The following is a 23,839-nucleotide window of genomic DNA, read 5'->3' on the forward strand; positions in this document are numbered from 1 at the left end:
ATCTCATAAATTTCTTTGCAGATATTATAGAGATCCCTCTCATGTGTAAGTCATTGTTTTAAGAAGAATAGATAACCCAGAAGCATATCTGTGAATTAATTTGTATACAGTTTCATTAATTCTTTCCTTTAGAAAAGGAAGATTAAGCCAAAGAGGTTTCAAAAGTGCTGAAATAATACAGAAGCAAAGGAAGACCCAGGGCCTCTGTCTTTCTCAAAATAGCCACCAGGGGGAGGTCGGAGGCAGGCCTGCACTCCGCCGGGAAAGGAAGCGCGCCTCCTTTTTTTTTTTTTTTGGTGGAGGGACAGAGTCGCACTTTGTCACCAGGGTAGAGTGCAGTGGCGCAATCTCCGTTCACTGCAACCTCTGCTTCCCTGGTTCAAGCGATCCGCCCGCCTTGGCCTCCCAAAGTGCTGGGATTACAGGCGTGAGCCACCGCGCCCGGCCCCTTTTTTTTTTTTTTTTGGAGACTGAGTCTTGCCCTGTGCTCAGGCTGGAGTGCAATGGCGCGATCTGGGCTCACTGCAACCTCCGCCTCCCGGGTTCAAGCAATTCTCCTGCCTCAGCCTCCTGAGTAGCTGGGACTACAGGCGCACACCGCCATGCCCGGCTACATTTTTTTTTTTTTTTTTTTTTTGTATTTTAGTAGAGATGGGGTTTCACCGTGTTGCCCAGGCCGGTCTCGAACTCCTGAGCTCAGGCAGTCCGCCCGCCTCGGCCTCCCAAAGTGCTAGGATTACAGGCGCACCCGGTCAGCCTGCCTCCTTTCTTCGAGTGGATGGATTAAGTCATTGCAAGGCTGCTTTCCTGATTACATTCTGACCACTTTGAGTAGAAACTACTTTGCTTTTAAGATTGTTATTGCTTCTGTTTTCACTGTAATGTGTTTGATAGTGAAAGCGATCACCTGAGGGTAACCAAGTGGCTGTTTTTAGGAAGTGGAGAGACTGATTTTGGACCTCAGCTCAAGAACCTCAATAAGAAGCTCTTCACGGTGGTCGCCTGGGATCCTCGAGGCTATGGACATTCCAGGCCCCCAGATCGCGATTTCCCAGCAGACTTTTTTGAAAGGGATGCAAAAGATGCTGTTGATTTGATGAAGGTAGGTCTCTGAGGGAAGGGCCAGGGGAGGAAGGGTGGCTGGGCCTGTCTTCATTTATTTTGTTTAAATTTTGTTGTTATATTTTTCTACAAAATAATACCATGTGATTGCTATAGAAAACCCCAAGAGTTCAAATAGGTATAAAGAAGAAAGTAGAAATAGCCCACAGTCCAGCTCTCTAGAGACACTACCAAATCTTGGCGGCTCTGCTTTCTGGCCAGTCTTATTACATCACAAACGCAGTTTCATATTGATGGCATCGTGCTACACCTAACGTTTTTCTAACTTACTATTTTTGTTGAACAATTTTTCAAGGAAATAACTTTCATGTCAATAAATATGCATTTATACTAGTTGTATGATAGGCACATATTATTCCATTGTATGGATGTACTGTATCTTATTTCACCAATTTTCTTTTTTTTTTTTTGAGACAGAGTGTTGCTCTGTCACCCAGGCTGGAGTGCGGTGGCGCAATCTTGGCTCACTGCAACCTCTGCCTCCCGGGTTCAAACGATTCTCCTGCCTCAGCCTCCTGAGTAGCTGGGATTACAGGCACATGCCACTATGCCCAGCTAATTTTTGTATTTTTAGTAGAGACAGGGTTTCATCGCATTAGTCCGGATGGTCTCGATCTCCTGACCTCATGATCCACCCACCTTGGCCTCCCAAAGTGCTGGGATTACAGGCATGAGCCACCACACCTGGCCTATTTCACCAGTTTTCTAATAGTAGATAATTAACTTAATTTTTAAGTTGCCTTTTTCTGCTGTTATAAATAGCAGGCAGTGAACATTCTGTTGCTCGTGGGCATTTTCATTTTTTTGCCACTATAAACAGTATTGTTGTGGACATCCTGGACTGAGCTCCTGGCACACAGGGAGAATTTCATACACATTTAGGAGACAATTTGCTAGGTGATGGAAGTTCCAGATGTTCATTTTGCAGGATAGTGCCACAGTAGTTACACCATTTTATGGTCCGGGCAGCAAATATCTTGGAGTAATATTAATTCTTTACCTTTAATTTTCCAGTCATTCCATTCTTTTTTCTTGGCGGCCTCTCTAAGATGTAATCTTTGTCCATTTTCCCTGCCAAACGCATGTCCAGACCCTCTCTGATTCACCCGCGGACTCACACAACCTCCCCATGACGCTGTTCTCTGACAGCCTGGCTCTTGCCAGTTCTTCCCACAGTTGCTTTACCAGATACCCTGCTTCACTCCATCCAGCAGAGCTCAGGGTCCCCTCTCTGATCTACAGAACTGTTCTCAAGGTCCTTGCTCAGGCATGCATATGCACACACGTGCACACGCATACACACGTATGCTGTATTTGTCATATTTAAGTACTTGGTCTCCATTGATTCTAGTTCCTTGAGCTTTTTATCCAACCAGAAGATGTAGTTCCCTCCTAATTCAAACCCATACCGTATGCTCAGGTTTTTGTGACAATTTCCACTAAAAGTAATTAAGAGAAAACATGATGTCATCAAATGGTGGACTCTAGGGTTTTTCTTTTCTGACTAATTGATACTCCAGCCTCACACCTGTATTGATTCTGATAATTAGTGATTCAGTTTCTTTTAACAGAGAGGAGCAATAACCCGTGCCGTGCATTTTGTCGTATGATCATAGGCGCTGAAGTTTAAGAAGGTTTCTCTGCTGGGGTGGAGTGATGGGGGCATAACCGCACTCATTGCTGCTGCAAAATATCCATCTTACATCCACAAGATGGTGATCTGGGGCGCCAACGCCTACGTCACTGACGAAGACAGCATGATATATGAGGGTAGGTTCTGCGAAGGGGAGATGCCGGGACGGCAGATCCTTCCCCTCTCTCCGCATCTCATCTCTTATTGTGGGATATGTTGACAAGACACATCTCTCGTGCTTCTAGTTCTCAACTCTCAGGTAGGAAGAATAACGAGTTCTCAGAAAAGTAATGCAGTTTAACCAGTCTGAGTTTTAAAGCTTTCTGTTTCCAGGAGTGAAACTTCCATGGCTCAGGAAAAGGCTAAGTAAAATCACTATTTCTATTTACTACTACTGATAATGAACTTCAGGGAAGGAGGGGGTGGTGTGAAGTGTTATTAATAATCTCATTTAAAATACTGTGAGGCCAGGCACAGTGGCTCATGCCTGTAATCCCAGCACTTTGGGAGCTCAAGGCAGAAGGATCGCTTGAGCCCAGGAGGTCGAGGCTGCAGTGAGCCATGATTGTGCCACTGCACTTTTGCCTGGGTGACAGGAGTGAGAGAGAGATGGGGGAGGAAAGAAAATAATGTTGAGTGTGGAAAAGAATCACTGGATACAAATATGAAACCTTTTATTTTGATTAAAAGAATTTCTGTGCTATTTGCATGCTTTAACGTTGTCCTTCAAGCCTGTCTTTGAGGTTTTTTTTTTTTTTTTTTGAGTTTGAGTTTCACTCTTGTTGCCTGGGCTGGAGTGCAGTCGTGCGATCTCAGCTCACCACAACCTCTTCCTCCTGGATTCAAGCGATTCTCCTGCCTCACCCTCCCAAGTAGCTGGGATTACAGGCATGTGCCACCATGCCTGGCTAATTTTGTGTTTTTTAGTAAAGACGGGGTTTCTCCATGTTGGTCAGGCTGGTTTCGAATTCCCGACCTCAGGTGATCCACCTGCCTTGGCCTCCCAAAGTGCTGGGATTACCAGCGTGAGCCCCCACGCCCAGCCTGAGGTCTTTACAGGCACTGGAATAGGGGCCAGTGAACTTCAGCCTGTGCATTACACCTAGCCTGCCTCCCACTTTTGTGCAGCCCACGTACCAATCGAGGTGGCTAGTGCTGTGAGTCACAGAGACCAAGCTGGGGTGTCCCTTTACCACCCAGCATTGCTGCCCCAGACCTGCACTGGTGGTCACTACACAGGGGTGACTGTTGGCAATGAGCAGGCACCCAGCCATGGAATTTCAGTCAGCAACTCAGGAGTTGCTTAGCCTCCAGCAAGCTGCCCCATTGAGATGACCAGGCTCTTGGGAGGAAAGAAGGGTGCACCAGGATCTAGGGGTTGCTAGGACAAGAAGTGAAACTGACCTGCGTTACCCTACTACCCCCACCTGCCAGCCTGGCCCACCAGGACCCTCTTCCTCAGGCCACTAGCTTTTTGTCCAAGTGTGAGTCTAGTGGATCCCAGATGGCCTGCCCCAGACACTTAGGACTAGGTGGGTCAGGTGTTTTCTCTCCTCATGTGTAAGTATCTACATAATGTCTTTGATTTTGCTTCTTGGCCAGCAAAACCTAAAATATTTATTTACTCTCTGGCCCTTTACATAAAAGGTGTACAGATCTCTTCGCTAGAATATCACAAGTCTAGTCTTTTTCAGCTATTCGACAATTCACGTGACTTTTAAGTACGCTACTTAGTGGCAGCGTTCTGTTGTAGAATTGTAGTTCTTCACAGTCTTTCTGTTTTTTAAATGAATATGAAGCTCTTACGGTGAGTCTGATGTGGTTGCCAGTCCTGTCTGTGCTCCTGCTTGTCCTTATTTTGCTCCTGCCTGGTATCCATCTTGTGCACAGTAGGCCATTCCGCTCTGTGAAGGGTCTGTCCCCTCCCGCGGCCTCTAGGACAGGCTGCCTTGAGTTCTTCCTCCCTCTCCTGTATCCTTAAATTCTCTCCACTGGGTCAGTCCTCTCAGCCTGCAAAAGTGGGCACAATTCTTCCTCCAGAAAGTTGCCACTCCTACCTGTGGTTACTATCTTCCCATTCTTTATTCTTTCCCACAAACTTATGGAAAGAGCCACCTGCATTCCCTGCTTCTAGGGATCCTCCTTTCCTTCCTTCTTTAGTCCATTCTGCCCCATCTCCCTCTCTGGCCCATTCTAGCCCCCTCTACTGAAACTCTCCTCACTGACCCCTGCCCACTTGTTCTTTCCCATAATCACTATCTCAGTTCATGGCCTGCAGATGACCCGGCATCCAGGCAGAGTCCCAGATGCATCCCTCGAGGGCCCAGTCCTCCTCTGCCCTCTTCATTTGCCCACCTTGCCCTGTTCATTGAACTGTGATGCTTTCTGTTGTTACATAATACCCCTCCAGTTATCCTCACCTCTCTTCTTTCCCCACATTCTCCTGGTTTAGGCCGCTAGCTTCATATGGTAGTTTGTTCTCCATAGGAGAGTTTCCTTTGTAAGGCAAAAATCTAATCACTTAATTCCACTAGAGGACTTAAAATCCTTCACTAACCAGCAAAGTCCGTGCAGTTTGGCTGGCCCCTCCTGCCAGCCCCTCCCCGGACATTCTCCCATCTCCCCTTTCTCCTCATCCTTCCGGTGCCTCTCCCACGTGGGATAAATGGCCATTCCTGGAACAAGCTTCCCCCTCATGCCTCTTCGCCTTTGCAACTGCTGCTGTGCCAGCTTGCACCAGCCTTCCCCTCAGCCACATCCTCTGCCAGGGCATATTCACCCCTGACACAGCTCCTTGGGCCTCCGCGTCTGGGATGGCGTCCCGGAGCCCTGAGACCTGGCGGTGCTCTCCCTCCTGGACCCCGCCACACCTTGCACGTGCCTGTGTCACGGCCCTTCAACCCCGGGCACTGTCAGCACTTACTCCCTTGCCTCGGTCACCGCAGTGGGAACTCACTGTGTGCAGTTGCTCTGACTTTCCTTTCTTGATGAAAGCAAGAGTCTCTCAGTAGCGCAGCACTCTTTACTCTCTGACGTCTCGCTACTTCCCCTCCTGGCTACTCTTTCTTTTTCATCCCCCATCCTCTCCTAACTTGTGTCAAGATGGCTGTGGCCCGCCAGTGTGCTAGAGACCAAGCCCCCACCACGCACCTCCTCTTGGCTCCTTGGTCATTCTGCAGCGTTTGAGAACATGCTCATGATGTGTGCGCCATTGGTTACACCCCTCTTCTTGAAGCTTTCTCTGTCTGGAAGTTCTTGCCACCGTGTTCTCCCGACTTCCCTCCTCTCTCAGGCTGTTCCCTGGCTGACACGTGCCTGCTCCCCCATGTGGGCCACAGTGTTGGGGTCCTCCAGGCGTCACCCTCAGTGCTCTGCTCCCCTCTTACCCTCACACCTCACACCTGAGTAGCTTCACTCAGCTCCTTGCTCCACCTAACTCCCAAACCCCACATGTTCGACTGTTGTTTTTTTTTAAGAGACAAATTCTCACTGGGTGTGGTGGCTCACACCTGTAATCCCAGCACTTTGGGAGGCTGAGGCAGGAGGATCACTTGAGCCCAGGAGTTCAAGACCAGCCTGGGCAACGTAGCAAGACCCCGTGTCTACAAAAAAATACAAAACGTAGTCAGGTGTGGTGGCATGTGCCTGTAGTCCCAGCCATTTGGGAGGCTGAGGTGGAGGATCACCTGAGCCGGGGAGGTTGAGGCTGCCGTGATCTGTGATTACACCACTGCACTGTAGCTTGGGTGACAGAGGCGAGACCCTGTCCCAACAACAGCAACAACAACAACCAAAAGAAAAAAACAGAAAGAAAAGAAAAAGACGAGTTCTCACTATGTTGCCTTATTCAACTTTTTATTCAATTTTCTTATCTGGTTGTCTCACACCTACTTTAAATTCAGTCTGTCTAATACTGAATTCATGATCTTCTCTCTAGGCCTGTCCCTTCTGCTAAATTTCTTGTCATTATAAATAATACTCTTTCTCCCTGAAAATAATATTTTAATTACTATTTATTGAGTGCCTGCCGTGAGCTAAAGTCTTTAACAACGTGATATCCATGTAAGGTCTCTGATTCTCAGCCTGCTTGTCAAGTGAAAAACGGGGGCTCACAAAAGTGAGGAAACCTTCCAGACCACATCCCCCACACTGCGGCCTGCAGCTCACTGCACTCTTCTCTTCTGCTGGGCTCTGAGTGGCCCCATCTTGCCCTACCCCTCTCTCCCTCCCACCAGGCTCCCGCCAGCCTCGTTGGTCCCGTCTGGGCTGATTCTGTGCCTCTCCAACCGGTCCAGGTCCTTGCCTCCTACCAGTCTGCCTTCCATGATGCTCTGATAGCAATTCAGCAATATGTGAATCTCATGGTGTCTTACTTTAAGCCTTCCAGGACTCCCCACAACTTTCCTGATAAAGTTCAGGCTCCTTCACTTTGCTCACGGAATGAGTGGCCCGGCCTCTGCCTCTCCAGGTCCCCTCCCCCCACTTTCCCCTCCCAACCACCAGTGTCCAGCCATCCGAGACCACCTGGGTCCCTGCAGCAGGTGGCGGGCTCCTGCCTCCTTGTGTGGGCCCTTCCCGCTCCCTTCCCACTCCTTCACTTGTTTGCTGACTTCTCTTCTCCCAGAATGGCCCAAGCATTCCATCTTCTAGGAAGCCCTCACCGCCGCCACCCCGTGTCCACTGCCCGTGTGAGCACACAGGCCACTCTGCTACAGATGGACGGCTGGTTCTTGTACCCGTCTCCTGGGGTGTAGGAGCAACAGTATCTCTCTAGGGTCTAAGTCCATGAGTGAAATTGCTGAGTGTTGTGGGCAGGTAGACTACATTACAAGTGACAGATTATTTTCCAGCAAAATAAATTTACACTTCCACCAGCAATAGATGAGATTCTTAACTTTTAGCTCTTCAACAAAAACTTGAAATTCTCAGACTTCTTAATTCACTAGCCAATCAAATGGGTGTAAGATATTATCTTATTGGGGTCTTAATTTGCATTTCGTATTACTAATAAGATTGAAAATCTGTGTTTATCCACCATTTGAGTTTCTTCTGTATTATATCCATGTATTTTTATTGGTGAAAAGTTTTTTGTTATGTAATAATTGATACACACAATACAGTATGTTTGGGTATACAGTATGAAATGTAACAACAAAACGACCCCGCCGCTGTCCACCCAACTCAGCACCAGAACAGTTTCAATGTTATCCCAGTGTTACTCTAATCCTAGTCAGTAACCCCTTTTAGGGTAACTGTGTTGCAAGCACCTCTTCACAGTGGGTGGCTTTTGCCTTTTTCTTTATGGGCAGAACTACTTAATGTAAGGAAATGCCACAGTGTTTTGTTTTTCTTTCCTTTTTCTTTTTCTTTTCTTTCCTTTTTTTTTTTTTTTTTTGAGACAGGGTCTCCACTATTGCCCAGGCTGGAGTGCAGTGGCACCATCTCAGCTCACTGCAGCCTGCTTGCTCAACATCAAACTATCCTTCTGCCTCAGCCTCCCAAGTAGCTGGCACTACAGGCGTGTGCCACCGCACCTGGCTAATTTTTTTTTTTTTTTTTTTTGAGACGGAGTCTCGCTCTGTCACCCAGGCTGCGCAGTGGCGTGATCTCGGCTCACTGCAAACTCCGCCTCCTGTGTTCACGCCATTCTCCTGCCTCAACCTCCCGAGTAGCTGGGAATACAGGCGCCTGCCACCACGCCCGGCTATTTTTTTGTATTTTTAGTAGAGACGGGGTTTCACCGTGTTATCCAGGATGGTCTCGATCTCCTGACCTCGTGATCCGCCTGCCTCGGCCTCCCAAAGTGCTGGGATTACAGGCATGAACCACCGCGCCTGGCCAATTTTTGTATTTTTTGTAGAGACGGGGTTCCGCCACATTGCCCAGGCTGGTCTTGAACTCCTGGACTTAAGTAATCCACCCACCTCAACCTTCCGAAGTGCTGGGATTACAGGTGTGAGCCACCATGCCGCCCGGCCTCACAATGTTTTATTTTCTCATTGGTTTGGCTGGTTTTGTTTGATTTTAGATCCACCAACATGTTTGCCCATTTGTTTACTCACCTGTTCTTTCTTCTCAAATGTTCCTTCTAAAAGCATTTATCTTCTCTTCTTCCTGAAGTTATTTTTAGAAGTTATTTAAGGGCAGCCTGTTAATGGTCAACTCAGTTTTTACCAACAAGTGTCTTTTCTTTCATCCACCTTTTCTGTAAGTCTGTTTAGCTGAGTGTGGAAATGGAAGTGGAAAATCATTGTCTCCCCCATTCTGCAGTCTTCTGCCTTCCATCCTTGCTGTTGAGAAGTTTCCTGTCCGTCTACGTGGTTCCTGCTTCGGAGTGATGTGTCTTAACTCTCTGGCTGTTTTTCAGATTTTCTCCTTACCTTTGATATATTGCTGTTTTAATATATTCTGTCCAAATGCAGATTTCATTTTACTTGTCCTGTTTGGAATACATTGCGTTTTTGTTTATGGATTCTTTGATTCATTCTGAAAAACTCTCCCACCCATTATTTCTTCAAATAGGCATCTCGTTCATTCTTATTCTCTTCTTCTGAGACGAGCGGACTTTTGTAAACCTCGTCTTTCCATCTTCCTTATCTCTTCTGCATCGTCGTGTCTCTCTGCGTGGTGTTCTGCATAATTTCTTAAGATTTGTCTTCCAATTTTCTAGTTTTTTTATTAACTTTATAAAAATCCTGTTTGTTTTGTGACCTTTGGTTAGGAGCTAATATTTACTCACTCTTAATCTGAAAATAAACAAAGCAGTGAGCATAAATCGAGAGCGCTTTCCTTCCGGGAAGATTTGCATTTGTTGCTCTTGGGAACCACAGGATCATACCAGGTTGGGGCCATTTTTAGCTCAGCTTGATCCAGGAGTCTCAGGTTGGGCCCCGGCCTGCCTGCGAACACTGCGTCTCCACCCAGAGCAGGCCTGCCTTTGGAGCTGGCTTACTTCCTTTGCTGTATTTTCAGGGTTCTGTTTCTCATGTGCAGACACACTCATACACACTCACACCCCGGTTTCCATTAACCACTGCAACTTCAGCAATGCCACAGAATTCTGTTTTGTGAAAGATCTAGTTATTCCCCTGCAAGAAGGCCTTTCAGAGGGTATGGTCTGCCATACGGCCAAAAGTAGAAGCATGTGCAGGGACGTTTTGCTAGCCATCTTCACACTGTCTTGCTTGCTTCTCTCTCCCTTACCCTCCGCCCCCAAATGTTTTCTTCTTCCTACATCTTCTCCCCACCTCTTCAGGCTGTCTCCACGTACCTCATTCAAGTCTTTTCATTCTTGTGCAGAGCAGTTCATCCTCTTCAGCCTTTATCTTCAGCTCACACGGGGCCTACCTCTGAATATTTAAGCCAGTCAGCAGAAGCAAAGGCAGGCACCAGGCACTGTCCTGTAATGGGGGATCCGCCCTCCTCAGAAGGCAGTTGTGATTGTAAATAGCAGTTTTTCCTCCATTTGGTGATTTGAATTCACTAAGCACACAGTGAGTGCCTGCCAGGTGCCTGACGTTGTCCGGGACTCTGTAGAGATTGTTGCTCATGTGAGTTCATGCCATTAGTGTTATATTTCTTCCATGTGTAACGTGTAGCTCTCAGGAAGCAATATTTAATATGCTCAAGAGCATTAGAATCTTTACTTATCACAGTGTATTTAAAGAAATATAGAAAACATTGGCCTAAGGAATTGCATTTGTTGATTCATGTTAATGGTTGTTTTTAGCTATTCTTCCCTACTAGTGAATCATCTATAATACAGTTTGAAGTTTGGTACTTAGCCTTTTACACCCATATTTCTTCGGTAGCAGAAATTAGAATGAATAATTTGTGTGCATTTTTCAATGTCCATACAAATGCAATGCAGAAAAAAACTCCTCTTTTGCAAACATTGTCGCTCTTCCTCAGGTGACCCTGTTAGGGTCATATTTTCTTTTATCTTGTATCTTTAAAGGAAAGCGGTAAGTGCAGCTCTAATTTCATCCACTTGGTAAGCATTGATTTGTGGGCCTGTATTGTGGGAGGCACTAGTGTAGGCCCTGGGGTACAGTGGGGAGCAAAGCAAAGTCCCTTACACTGCACACAGGTCCTAGTGGGAGGCAGGCACTCAGCCCTGGGTCCAGAAGGCACCGCAAAGCAGCAACCAGGGCTAAGCCGAGCAGAGGGAGGGAGGGAGGCATTCCAGGCAGACGAGACAGTGAGCGCATGGGCTCAGAAGTGGCTCTTGCTCAGAATACTTAAAGACAATACTTTAGTATGAAATTAAACCTTTCTTCGCCTACACTTCTGTTTTTCAGGCATCCGAGATGTTTCCAAATGGAGTGAGAGAACAAGAAAGCCTCTAGAAGCCCTCTATGGGTATGACTACTTTGCCAGAACCTGTGAAAAGTGGGTGGATGGCATAAGACAGTTTAAACATCTCCCAGATGGTAGGTTACTGGGCTTGAAGGGCTCTCTGCCTGTTATAGAGGGTGCTCGAGTTCCTCCCCAGTGTTCTGGAATTGCTCAGTGATTCATGAATCTGCCCATCGCCCTCACACGCTCATGTGTGAGCAGAACAGAGAATACTAGTTCTTGTGTACTGTGCCAGTTCTTGGGCAGTCAATCTGGCTTAACGGAGAGGTAGGACTGCGTGTCCAAAGGTTCACATTGTTGAGTCTTTAATAGCAGACTGCTCTTTTTTCCTTCTAATCCTTGGTGTGTGTGCGATGACAAAATAATTATCCAGAAGCCTTAAACCGTTTCTATTTTCTAATTCCAGAATGAGTAATTCGAAAATAAATAGGCCACAATGTGTACAATATTTTTTCCTTTTTACACATTTAGATGTGTCTCCCCACGAGGACACTGTTAATCTTTAATCTCAACGGAATTAATATGAGGAAGAAAATATTCTGTTTTTTCCATCTTCAGAACTAAGTGATATGACTGTAACCATGAACAATGCACAAATGTCTCCTATTCTTTTTTTTTTAGATGGAGTCTCACTCTGTCACCAGGCTGGAATGCAATGGCATGATCTCAGCTCACTGCAATCTCTGTCTCCTGGGTTCAAGCGATTGCTCTGCCTCAGCCTCCCAAGTAGCTGGGACCACAGGCGTGCACCACCACACAGGCACATTTTTTTTGTATTTTAGTAGAGACAGGGTTTCACCATGTTGGCCAGGATGGCCTTGATCTCCTGACCTCGTGATCCGCCCACCTTGGCCCTCCCAATTGCTGGGATTACAGGCCTGAGACACCATGCCCAGCCTCCTATTCTTTATCTGAAAAATTAACAAGATTTCCAGTTAAAGTAAGAATTGACATCTTTAAGAGAAATTCTGAATTATAGTTTATTTTCATACAGCTGTTTATGTTTATAATCTCATTTTTTTTTAATTACTGAGAAAATAGAGTAGCTAAGATCTAATCTTGGAGTGCATTGTTACAAAATGGTTGTGATTGAAGGACCAATTTGATCCATTAGGTAATCATTTCCTGCATGAATCATCTGCCAAAACTTTCACAATGAAAAGGACATTTGGAAATGTTACTCTTCTGGTTTGAGTTGAAAACAGCAAATATATCAAATGTATGCCTTATAATGTTTCTGTTCAGATGCAGCATCCACCCATGGAGACAGGCCCTGGAAATCTCTGCTCTTAAAACAAAAAAATGCCATGAAACGATGTTTGAGACAGTTCTCCATTAAAGAGGGCACATTTGTAAAATGTAAACTTGGATGTTTTGTTGAAGAGAGTAGTGAAAAGACAGGAAGATTTAAAGGTGGAAATAGGGTTAAATCAGCAATTCAAAAATACGTTCATGATACAGAGGCTGTAGCAGTGTATAAACTGTCTCACAGCGAGGGCCTTCGTGATGCGTCCCCCTTCTGTGCTGACTCATTTGGTAGGAGCCCTCTTTTCCGACTGTCCTCTCAGGTTTATGGATGCTTGGTATAGTGTAGGGATTCATTGCATTGCACGGCTCTGGAGTGCGATGGCCCTGAGTGTGAGTTCTGCCTGTGTCCCCGGCTTGCTGTTAGAATGGATCTGGGCAGGTAACTTAGCTTCTTGAAGCTTCGGTTTCCTATCTGTGACCTCGAAAAGCTGTTGTTGTGGGGATTAAATGAGGTATTATCTATTCAGCTTTGGTGCAGGATCAAAGACAGAGTAAGTGTCTAGTGAAAGGTTGGTATTACTGTTATTACAGAAGTCCTTAATGAACAAACATTTTTATATGCTGAATGAGTTAAAACATGTAACTACTGTGTTTAACAGATGTGAAATTGTTTAAACAGTTGCTGGCACCAAGTGAGCACTCAGGCATGTTGACTTTGATCATCACGTGATGATGCAGCTGGCCGGTGTGTGTCATCTCGGGACAGGAGAGGGAAGTGTCAGAGACCTGGAGAAGTATTTCCCTAGTCAGCAGGTCCGCTTCTCACTTAGCAGGCAGTGACTTCCCACTGAAGAGGAGGGAAAGGCCTGGGGCCCGTGCAGGGCGGGGGAGCACTGCCCCGTCGGGGCAGCTCCCAGCCTTCTCAGAGCTGCAGTGCCTTCCTCTTGACACACACGGAGAGGGAATGGAGAAGGAAAGAGCTAGCTTAGGGATGCCAGGAACCGCAGACGCAACTCTCTTTTTAGCCCCACAACAGCCCCGGGGAACTGTGATTGTTCCTGTTTGTGGCTGAAGCTCCCAGTGGTTAAGGAGCCACCACAGCCTCACAGAGGCAGGAAACTGCAGTACAGGGACTAGGGCCCAGGCTGTCCATCATTGCCTCAGGAAAGTTCTCATAAATGGGGGTAAGTCCTTACAGTCTCTCCAAAGTATGTTAGTCAGGAGTGTCACAGATGCATCAGCGATAAGGAGAAGCTGCTTTACCGTGCGCAAGTTGTATAATTAATTCCTTGTGAGGTTCATATGCTTTGAGGGCTGGCCGGGGCCCCTACACTCATCTGAAACGTGATTTCCAGGGAAAAGCTCTACAGGTGTCAAGCACCTACCACTGTTTTCACGGTGGGAACCGCCACTGTGGAATATAGTGGTGGGGTGTTTATTTGATTTTCCTACTATTTTATGCGAATTTAAATCAGGCTGCTTATTTACTAGTAGAACTCAGAAACAGGCAAACAAACAAGAAACAGAGAGAAACAGAAAAGGGAACCCAAAGAATGTTAGAGCTGGAAGGAATCCCAGGCACGGTCAAATCCAAAACACAGTTTTTACGGATAGGGAAACTGAGGGCCAAGGAGGGGCAGGGCTCGCCGAGTTTCGCCTCCTCTGACCGCGTAGAATGGTTGCACTAAAGCAGATTCCTCGTGCTGTGTATCCGTCAGGTAACATCTGCCGGCACCTGCTGCCCCGGGTCCAGTGCCCCGCCTTGATTGTGCACGGTGAGAAGGATCCTCTGGTCCCACGGTTTCATGCCGACTTCATTCATAAGCACGTGAAAGGCTCACGGTAAGTCCTGTCACCGCCTTCACACTCCCCCCGAGAGCCTCGGAGTCAATGGGCAAAGCTACTGGAAGGAAAATAACCAAGAGGAGTTGGAGTTTTAGAGTGCACAGCCCCCCTTTTGCCAATGCCAGTCAGTAGCACCGCTTTATTTAGGGTACCACGGAAGAGAGAAGCCCTGAACTGTGGGTGACTGATAACCAGAAGGAAAGGCATGTTCAGATAGACAGCTCTTACTTTCATGAGTGGCAAACATGCTCATAGGTGCTAAGCCCTGTCACTTGGTAATAGTTTAGATTTATTTCCATCAGTATTAACCGAAACAGTTTCACACAATTTGGGAATTTTCAGTTTAGTTTTTTATCATTATAAAAGCACTGACCACCCAATTTAAAAAAATCTGTTAAACCAAATTTCTGATGTCTGCTGACAGCCAGCCCTACTCAGCACAGTTAATGGTAGTGTTCCCTGTCCCTAAAGCCCCCAGGCCAGCAGGGAAAGCAGGCACAGAAACAGCTCCACTGCTCCCTTCTCGCTCTGTTCTATGATGTATTTAACAACAGATTTCTCAGAGAATTTTTAAAGGAGGAAAAAAAGTTTCTTTTCTATAATAAAATACAATTACCATAAACCTTTATAATTACTATATCCATAATGGATAGTGCTATATCCATTTAGCATTTTTTAAGTTAACAGGCATCTCTTTATTCCACACATTCCTCCTATACCACTTCAACCATGAATCAAAAATACACATGAGCCTGTATAACAAATAATTCATTTGGTAAGAGCATAGAGTCAGTGAAGAGCAAAGGTGGGAGTTAGGCAGGATTATACTGCGGGTGGACAAAGAGGTTTAATGAGGGAGTTGGTTTTTTTTTGGAGTCGGAGTCTCGCACTGTCACCTGGGCTGGAGTGCAGTGGCACGATCTCGGCTAACTGCAACCTCCGCCTCCCAGGTTCAAGCGATTCTCCCACCTCAGTCTCCCAAATAGGTGGGATTACAGGTGTGCGCCACCACGCCCAGCTAATTTTTTGTATTTTCAGTAGAGACGGGTTTCACAATGTTAGCCAGGCTAGTCTCAAACTCCTGACCTCGTGATCCGCCTGCCTTGGCCTCCCAAAGTGCTGGGATTACAGGCATGAGCCACCACTCCCAGCTTGGAGTTTTTAAATTGATTTAGTAGGGGCTGGGCACAGTGGCTCACACCTGTAATTGCAGCACTTTGGGAGGCTGAGGCAGGCGGTTCACTTGAGGCCAGGAGTTCAAGACCAGCCTAGCCAACATGGCGAAACCCCATCTGTACTAAAAATACAAAAATTAGCCGGGCATGGTGGCGGGTGCCTGTAACCCCAGCTACTCAGGAAGCTGAGTCAGGAGAATCGCTTGAACCTGGGAGGCGGAGGTTGCAGTGAGCCAAGATTATGCCACTACACTCCAGCTGGGTGACAGAGTGAGACTCCGTCTCAGAAATAAATAAATAAGTATAAATTTATTTAGTAGCGAATAAAAGGTATTTTCAAACTAGACTTTATAAAATTATAATACTAAGTTATGGTCATGGTACAAAATTCCAGTAGTATACTTTCTTATTAATCCTTGCAAAAGTTTTTTTTGTTTGTTTTTTTTTTGAGGCACAGTTTCACTCTTGTTGCCCAAGCTGAAGTGCAATGGCGCGATCTCGGCTCACTGCAACCTCTGCCTCCTGGGTTCAAGTGATTCTCCTGCCTCAGCCTCCTGAGTAGCTGGGATTACAGGCACCCGCCACCACGCCCAGCTAATTTTTGCATTTTTAGTAGAGACGGGGTTTCACTGTGTTAGCCAGGATGGTCTCGATCTCTTGACCTTGTGATCCACCCACCTTGGCCTCCCAAAGTGCTGGGATTACAGGCATGAACCACCATGCCCGGCCTGCAAAAGTTTTTTATACAATCTCAGTTTTTGTGCTTTTGATTGTATACGTTTGCAGTGTACAAAGTGATATCTCCATATAGCACTTAATATTTTAAAAGGTATTTTATATATAGTATCTAGTTATAGTTTATGACATATTTATGAAAAATATTATCCATTTTACAGATGAGAAATCATGGCTGAGAGATGTTAAGCAATCTTTCAAGGTTGTATAGCTAGTAAATAATTAATCTTAGATTTTTCTCCTAATATGGTGCTTTTCCACCATAGCACAGCTGCCACTTATCTCTTAATATGTATGATGGTAACATGCCTAGAATAAGATACCAGGTGACCTGGTTAATTGTCTTCCAGCTTCAGAAATGACAGGTTTTGCACAGTGACACACATAGTAAATGTGTTATGTGCCCTTAAAGAGCCAGGTTCAATTAAAGTCAGTCTACAAGAAAGTTTAATTTAGGAATTAAAGTTTAATTTAGGCCCATCTCCTAGCAACACAGTACATCAGTATAGGAGAAAAACACCCTTACAGGCTCACACCTGTAATCCCAGCACTTTGGGAGGCCGAGGTGGGCAGATCACTTGAGGTCAGGAGTTCAAGACCAGCCTGGCCATCATGGTGAAACCTCGTCTCTACTAGAAATACAAAAATTAGCCAGACATGGTCGTGGGCACCCGTAATCCCAGCTACTCAAGATGCTGAGGCAGAGAATCACTTGAACCTGGGAGGCAGAGGTTGCAGCGAGCCAAGATCACGCCACTGCACTCCAGCCCGGGCAACAAGAGCCGAAACCCTCTCTGAAAAACAAACAAACAAACAAAAAAACACTTAAAGGCACAGACTATCCCTTCCCAGATTTTTACCAAGAAATACAGATTATGTGTGAAGCAAACACCAAACTGCCTTTCTTGCCTCAGAAGGAGGCTGAACAAAGGGTGGAGTTGCTCAGCAGGTCTGCTTCCAGCTTATGTTAATTTGTCTCTTTCTCTCTTCTCTCTTTGTGGTAGAAGAAAAATAAGAATCGCTTATTTTTATTTTAAGCAAAGAGGCCTTAGAGATCATTCAAGCTCAGTGATTTTAAAATGTGTTTTTAGTCGGTTGAAGCCCTTCCTCTAACAAGCACTTGTGCTGCAGTCTGAGATACGAAACACACTATGAGAGCTGCTCAGACGACAGCAGTGATGGGGAGCAGGCTTTGCCTTTCTGCCTCCCGTGTCCACATTTCCTCCTATAAGTACAGCGGTCGTAATAGATTAGGACCTACTCATATGACTTCATTTCAAATCAATTACCTCTTTAAACACTCTACCCAAAGGAGGTCACACTCTGAGATGCTGGGGGTCAGGATCTAAGCATATCAATATGAGGGGTGCAATTCAGCCCATCACAGTGCTTCTGAGGAGGTGCTCCGATCTCAGGAGCCAGAGGCCCGGTTCTGGGTTTCAGACTCGACTGCAAACGATGAGTCCCTCGCCTCTCGCCTGCGGCCCTTCTCCACCCCTCAGCTCCTGCCTTTGCCTGCCTGGGTGTGTGCCCACCCCTTAGGCCAGGACTCAGGCGGCTCCTCAGCGAGGCTTCCTCGCCTCTGCATGCGCCTCCAGTTGCTCGCTCACCTATCTGAGGTCATGTGGCTCCTTATACCTTTTTTCTTCCTCTTTTTTTGTTTTTGAGACAGAGTCTCGCTGTTGCCCAGGCTGGAGTGCAGTGGCGCGATCTTGGCTCACTGCAGGCTCTGCCTCCTGGGTTCCTGCCATTCTCCTGCCTCAGCCTCCCGAGTAGCTGGGACTACAGGCGCCCACCACCACGCCCGGCTAATTTTTTGTATTTTTAGTGGAGACGGGGTTTCACGGCGTTAGCCAGGATGGTCTCAATCTCCTGACCTCGTGATGCACCCGCCTCGGCCTCCCAAAGTGCTGGGATTACAGGCATAAGCCACTGCACTTGGCCTTCTTCTTTTTTTTTTTTTTTTTTGTTTTTTTTTTTAAGAGACAGGGCTTGCACTGTCATCCAGGCTGGAGTGCAGTGGTGTGATCACGGCTCATTGCAGCCTTGAACTCCTGGACTCAAGTGATCCTCCCACCTCAGCCTCCCAAGTAGCTCAGACATAGGCACGTACCACCACTCCTAGCTAATTTTTTGTGTATGTATTTTGTGTAGAGAAAGGGCCTTGCCGTGTTGTCCAGGCTGGTCTTGAACTCCTGGGCTCAAGCAATCCTCCTGCCTTGGCCTCCCAAAGTGCCGGGATTACAGGTGTGAGCCACTGCACCCAGCCTCTTTATTCATATCTCTAACAGCTGCTAACGTGAATGCAATTCTTCCCATGTTGAACACTCCACCGCCTATCCCAGGATGTGGTCTAGAGCATCTGAACATGCTCAGTGCATGTTGAAAGAGAGAGAGGGAGAGCAAGAGGTGCACAGAGGGCCATGTCTCTGTGGATGGGCTGGGGTCACCAGTGCAGGACCAGCCGCGTATTCTGAGCCCAGGCCTGAGGGCCAGACCCGGTGGGAAAGTCCATGTGGCACAGAGTTGGCATCTTAAGTTCGTGTCAACTAAAGGGGAGGGAGAGGGGTTAAGAGCACCAGCAGGGGACTCAGACCTCGGTTGGAGTGCTGGTTTGGGTTTGAATGCTGGTGTGGGTTGGAGTGCTGGTGTGGGTTGCAGTGCTGGTTTGGGTTGGAGTGCTGGTTTGGGTTTGAGTTCTGGTGTGGGTCGGAGTGCTGGTTTGGGTCGAGTGCTGGTTCAGGGTGGAGTGCTGGTTCGGGGTGGAGTGCTGGTTCGGGGTGGAGTGCTGGTTCGGGTCCGAGTGCTGGTTCGGGTGGAGTGCTGGTTCGGGGTGGAGTGCTGGTGTGGGTTGGAGTGCTGGTTCGGGTCCGAGTGCTGGTTCGGGGTGGAGTGCTGGTTCGGGGTGGAGTGCTGGTTCGGGGTGGAGTGCTGGTGTGGGTTGGAGTGCTGGTTCGGGGTGGAGTGCTGGTTCGGGTCCGAGTGCTGGTTCGGGTGGAGTGCTGGTTCAGGGTGGAGCGCTGGTTCGGGGTGGAGTGCTGGTTTGGGTTTGAATGCTGATTCGGGGTGGAGTGCTGGTTCGGGGTGGAGTGCTGGTTCAGGGTGGAGTGCTGGTTCCGGTTGGAGTGCTGGTGTGGGTTGGAGTGCTGGTGTGGGTCGGAGTGCTGGTTTGGGTCGGAGTGCTGGTTTGGGTCGAGTGCTGGTTCGGGTTGGAGTGCTGGTTCGGGGTGGAGTGCTGGTTTGGGTCGGAGTGCTGGTTTGGGTCGAGTGCTGGTTCAGGTTGGAGTGCTGGTTCCAGCTGGAGTGCTGGTTTGGGTCGAGTGCTGGTTTGGGTCGAGTGCTGGTTCAGGTTGGAGTGCTGGTTCCGGCTAGAGTGCTGGTTTGGGTCGAGTGCTGGTTTGGGTCGAGTGCTGGTTCAGGTTGGAGTGCTGGTTCCGGCTGGAGTGCTGGTTTGGGTCGGAGTGCTGGTTTGGGTCGAGTGCTGGTTTGGGTTGGAGTGCTGGTTCGGGTTGGAGTGCTGGTTCCAGCTGGAGTGCTGGTTTGGGTCGGAGTGCTGGTTTGGGTCGAGTGCTGGTTCGGGGTGGAGTGCTGGTTCGGGTCCGAGTGCTGGTTCGGGTGGAGTGCTGGTTCGGGTTGGAGTGCTGGTTCGGGGTGGAGTGCTGATGTGGGTTGGAGTGCTGGTTCCGGTTGGAGTGCTGGTTCGGGTCGGAGTGCTGGTTCGGGTTGGAGTGCTGGTTCGGGGTGGAGTGCTGGTTCGGGGTGGAGTGCTGGTTCGGGGTGGAGTGCTGGTGTGGGTTGGAGTGCTGGTTCTGGTTGGAGTGCTGATTCGGGTCGGAGTGCTGGTTCGGGTCGGAGTGCTGGTTCGGGTCGAGTGCTGGTTCGGGTTGGAGTGCTGGTTCGGGTCAGAGTGCTGGTTCGGGGTGGAGTGCTGGTGTGGGTTGGAGTGCTGGTTCCAGTTGAGTGCTGATTTGGGTCGGAGTGCTGGTTTGGGTTGAGTGCTGGTTTGGGTCGGAGTGCTGGTTTGGGTCGGAGTGCTGGTTCGGGTTGGAGTGCTGGTTCCAGCTGGAGTGCTGGTTTGGGGTGGAGTGCTGGTGTGGGTCGGAGTGCTGGTTTGGGTCGAGTGCTGGTTTGGGTCGGGAGTGCTGGTTCGGGGTGGAGTACTGGTTTGGGTTCGGGGTGGAGTGCTGGTTCAGGGTGGAGTGCTGGTTCGGGTCGGAGTGCTGGTTCGGGGTGGAGTGCTGGTGTGGTTTGGAGTGCTGGTTCCAGTTGAGTGCTGATTTGGGTCGGAGTGCTGGTTTGGGTTGAGTGCTGGTTTGGGTCGGAGTGCTGGTTTGGGTCAGAGTGCTGGTTTGGGTCGAGTGCTGGTTTGGGTCGGAGTGCTGGTTCGGGTTGGAGTGCTGGTTCCGGCTGGAGTGCTGGTTTGGGTCGGAGTGCTGGTTTGGGTCGGAGTGCTGGTTTGGGCGAGTGCTGGTTCGGGTTGGAGTGCTCCTTTGGTCACCATGTGCTGGATGTAATATTTCTGTACTACTGTTACCTCTTGTGTGAAATGAGCATGACAATACCTATCATCTCAAGATAGTTTTTGAGGAATGAATGAGGAGGTATTTGTACATTTGGACTTAAATTTAAGACTTAACACACCCAGCCTGGGCAACATGCTGAAACCTCGTCTCTACAAAAAGCAAGAAATTAGCCAGGTATGGTGGTATGCACCTGTAGTCCAAGCTACTCAGGAGGCTGAGGTAGGAGAATCACCAGAGCCTAGGAGGTGGAGGCTGCAGTGAGCCATGATCATGCCACAGCGCTCCAGCCTGGGTGTAGGAATGAGACCCCACCTGAAAAATAAATAAATAAATAAAAAATACTCAACAGACAGTAGCTGCCACTTTTGAGGATGGAATGCTGGCATGGATACAGGTGAATAGGGCCCCCAGAGGACATTGGGGCATAGCTTGAAATTAGGTCAGGCAAGTTGCCATCTGTTCCAACTTTCAGCACCATTATTATTTGTGTTATTTTTAAATTTTTTAAGAGAAGGTCTCGCTCTGTTGCCCAGGCTGGAGTGCAGTGGCCCGATCATAGCTCCTGGCAGCCTCAACCTCCTTACTTCAAAGGATGCTCCCGCCTCAGCCTCCTGAATAGCTAAGACAACACCATTATTAGTGTAGGTATATGGGCATATTTGGGTTCTCCAAAAAAAAAGAACCAACAAGACGTATATGTGTGTATGTATATATAGGTAGAAAAAAGAGATTCATTTTAGGGAATTGGTTCATGGAGTATGGAAGCTGACAAGTCCCAAGGTCTGCAGAGTGAGTTGGCCAGCTGGAGACCCAGGAGAGCTAAAGGTGTGATTCCAGTCTAAGTCTGAAGGCCTGACAGCCAGGAGAGGAGATGGTGTGGTTCTAGTGTGAAAGCCAGGAGGCTTGAGACCCAGGAAGAGCCAATGTTTCAGCCTGAGTCCAAAGGTAGGAAAAAGCCAATATCGCAGACTGAAGGCCAAGGAATTCCCTGTTCTCAGCCTTCTTGTTCTACTCAGGCTTTTAGCAGATTGGACAAGACCCACCACACTGGGGAGGGCCTCTGCCTTTATTCAGTCAGTGGATTCAAATGCTAACCCATCCAGAAACACCCTCATGAACACACTCAGAAATAATGTTTGACCAAATATCTGGGCACCCTGTAGCCCAGTCAAGTTGACACAAAGTGTACAGTCACAGGGTGAAGGGCTGATGGATGCCATCTCTACAGAGGTCTGGGCCTTGTGTTGGGTTCACCAGAGGGTGTGCTGGCAGGCTGGCAGCGAGGGATCAGGCCTGGGATGTCTGTGCAGTGGGCTAGTTACTCTCCTCTGTCTGGACCACAGAAGGGAAGGAAGGGCCTCTTTCTGCAGCTTCCTTGGCTGTTTGGGTCTGGCCACCAGTGGTAAGATGGCCCTAGTCCTCCCAGGCAGGCCAGTGGGAGCCTTACCACTAGGTGGAGTGAAATGAATTGGCTTAGGTGGAAAAGATTCACACCAGTGATAATGGTTCATTTTCAGCTCCATAGAAAAGTGAAGCCAGGTTCTGGTGGGGAGGTAGACGCTGCAGGCAGCCAGGGCTGCAGCTTCCGTTCTGGACTGCCTCCAGCCTGGACGCAGTGGTTTGCCAGCTCCTCTGCTACTGCCCCAGGTGACAGTTCCCCACCACTGGCATCCCAGCCCTCCTCTTCCCAGGTGCTGCTTTCAGCTCCTCCCAGCTGCTGCTCAGGTGGAAGGGAAAACCATCAGCTCCACACGCTGCTTGTGGGCTCGTTACAGGATTTACTGCACACAGAATTAGCCAGTGCTTATCAAGTTGAGTCTTTTGTATTAATATTTCAAAAACAGTGTGGTCTGAACCTTTCCAGACAAATCTTACATGCAAGATTATATTAAAACCTCTCTTAAGAGAAGAAACCTCCAGTTGGAGGTGTTGTGTTAGCCAACAAATGTAGATTAATTGTGCTCCCCTGAGTCAGTCATTGTTTAATATGCTGCACAGATTAACACCTTCAGGAATTCTGCACATTGTAAAGTGCAATACAAATATACTAATAAAATAACAGCAGACATTTATTAAGCTTACCACGTACCCGCAGACCCTATGCTGCATACGTTGAATCTACTATCTCATTCATCCTCAGAATGATTCTATGGGGTAGATTCTATTACTGTCCGCATTTTCCAGATGAGGAATTGTGACTCAGGGAGATGGATGTAGCCTGTCAGTATGGACTCTGTGCTGGTTAGACAAAACTGTCCTGGCCCCGTAAAGCCAGTGTTTTCCTCCCACGATGATGCCTCCAGTTTACATCCAAATGTCACAGGAAGAAAGCTTTCCTGCAGTCCAGGGCCCGACTAGGTCCCCACAGTCACAGCAGATTTGGAAAGGCTTTGTCCTCCACACACCACTTAAAAGCACCAACCCAGCAGCCCGAGGGTCCTCTAGCAGCCCACTTCAAGCCGCCACACTGCCCAGAAAGTAGCCTCCGGGGCAGTTTTGCTTCTAATGCTTGTGTCTAATGCTTGAGACATGGTTGCTTTTGAGAAATGGAGCTGCTCAGTGAGCTGTCGCCCCCACCATCCCCAAATGCCTGGTCAGCCCTAACCAGAGGAGAGCCTGGCCAGCCAGGGCAGCCCCCAACTTCATCAGCAGCAAGGAGCTTGTGGTTTGACCATTACCTTTTTGTTTGTTTGTTTGTTTGTTGTGAGATAGAGCCTTGCTCTATTGCCCGGGCTGGAGTGCAGTGGCGGGATCTCGGCTCACTGCAACCTCCGCCTACTGGGTTCAAGTGATTCTGCCTCAGCCTCCCGAGTAGCTGGGATTATAGGCGCGCATCACCACGCCGGCTAATTTTTGTGTTTTTGGTAGAGATGGAGTTTCACCACATTGACCAGGCTGGTCTCGAACTCCTGACCTCAAGTGATCCACCTGCCTCGGCCTCCCAAAATGCTGGGATTACAGGCGTGAGCCACCGTGCCCAGTCTAGTACCTTTTTCTTAGGTGGGGCTTTCTAGAAGAAGCAGAATGAAAAAGGAAAATATTTAGTTTCTGAATAAAAAGGGGCTATTGGCAACCAGGTTTGGATGGCGTCAGAAGGAATGCCTGAAGAAGTGATATGCCATGTTGCTGCCCAGTTTCACACTGGAAGAGATCCTGTGCAAAGATCCAGCGGCCTGCTTTGGGTTCCAGTAAACACAAAA

The 23,839-nt window shown here is 48.1% G+C and overlaps 1 protein-coding gene across 6 annotated transcripts in view, besides 3 other annotated features; it reads left to right on the plus strand.

Moving 5' to 3' along the window:
- BPHL (biphenyl hydrolase like) overlaps positions 1-23,839 on the plus strand; it is a 35,203-nt gene that overhangs the window by 7,931 nt on the left and 3,433 nt on the right. For 2 of the 6 annotated variants that reach the window (NR_026648.2, NR_026649.2), the window contains 5 exons: positions 936-1,102; positions 2,739-2,892; positions 11,056-11,116; positions 11,735-11,873; positions 14,080-14,203. Coding sequence is in view for 4 of the 6 variants with exons in the window: in XM_047419266.1 (XP_047275222.1) it covers positions 936-1,102; positions 2,739-2,892; positions 11,056-11,187; positions 14,080-14,203; positions 23,717-23,753 (614 nt within the window). In the remaining 2 variants the exon portion in view is untranslated. Of the gene's footprint in view, positions 1-935; positions 1,103-2,738; positions 2,893-11,055; positions 11,188-11,734; positions 11,874-14,079; positions 14,204-23,716; position 23,839 lie in introns of those variants that run through there. The other 4 variants (NM_001302777.1, NM_004332.4, XM_047419266.1 and 1 more) reach the window with 3 other exon arrangements.
- Positions 7,181-7,837: an enhancer, noted in NCBI's record as "H3K4me1 hESC enhancer chr6:3133721-3134377 (GRCh37/hg19 assembly coordinates)". NCBI's record gives its function as "activates a minimal SCP1, AML or CMV promoter by ChIP-STARR-seq in naive H9 embryonic stem cells {active_cell/tissue: H9 hESC(naive)}" and the evidence as "EXISTENCE:reporter gene assay evidence [ECO:0000049][PMID:30033119]".
- Positions 13,038-13,117: an enhancer, noted in NCBI's record as "active region_23883". NCBI's record gives its function as "activates an Ori minimal core promoter by ATAC-STARR-seq in GM12878 lymphoblastoid cells {active_cell/tissue: GM12878}" and the evidence as "EXISTENCE:reporter gene assay evidence [ECO:0000049][PMID:35858748]".
- Positions 22,234-22,395: a silencer, noted in NCBI's record as "fragment chr6:3148774-3148935 (GRCh37/hg19 assembly coordinates)". NCBI's record gives its function as "represses an EF-1alpha promoter that drives an FKBP-Casp9 reporter gene in an ReSE screen in HepG2 liver carcinoma cells {active_cell/tissue: HepG2}" and the evidence as "EXISTENCE:reporter gene assay evidence [ECO:0000049][PMID:32094911]".

This window comes from Homo sapiens, chromosome 6 (genome assembly GCF_000001405.40).
Source record: "Homo sapiens chromosome 6, GRCh38.p14 Primary Assembly".
NCBI classification, from domain to species: Eukaryota; Metazoa; Chordata; class Mammalia; order Primates; family Hominidae; genus Homo; species Homo sapiens.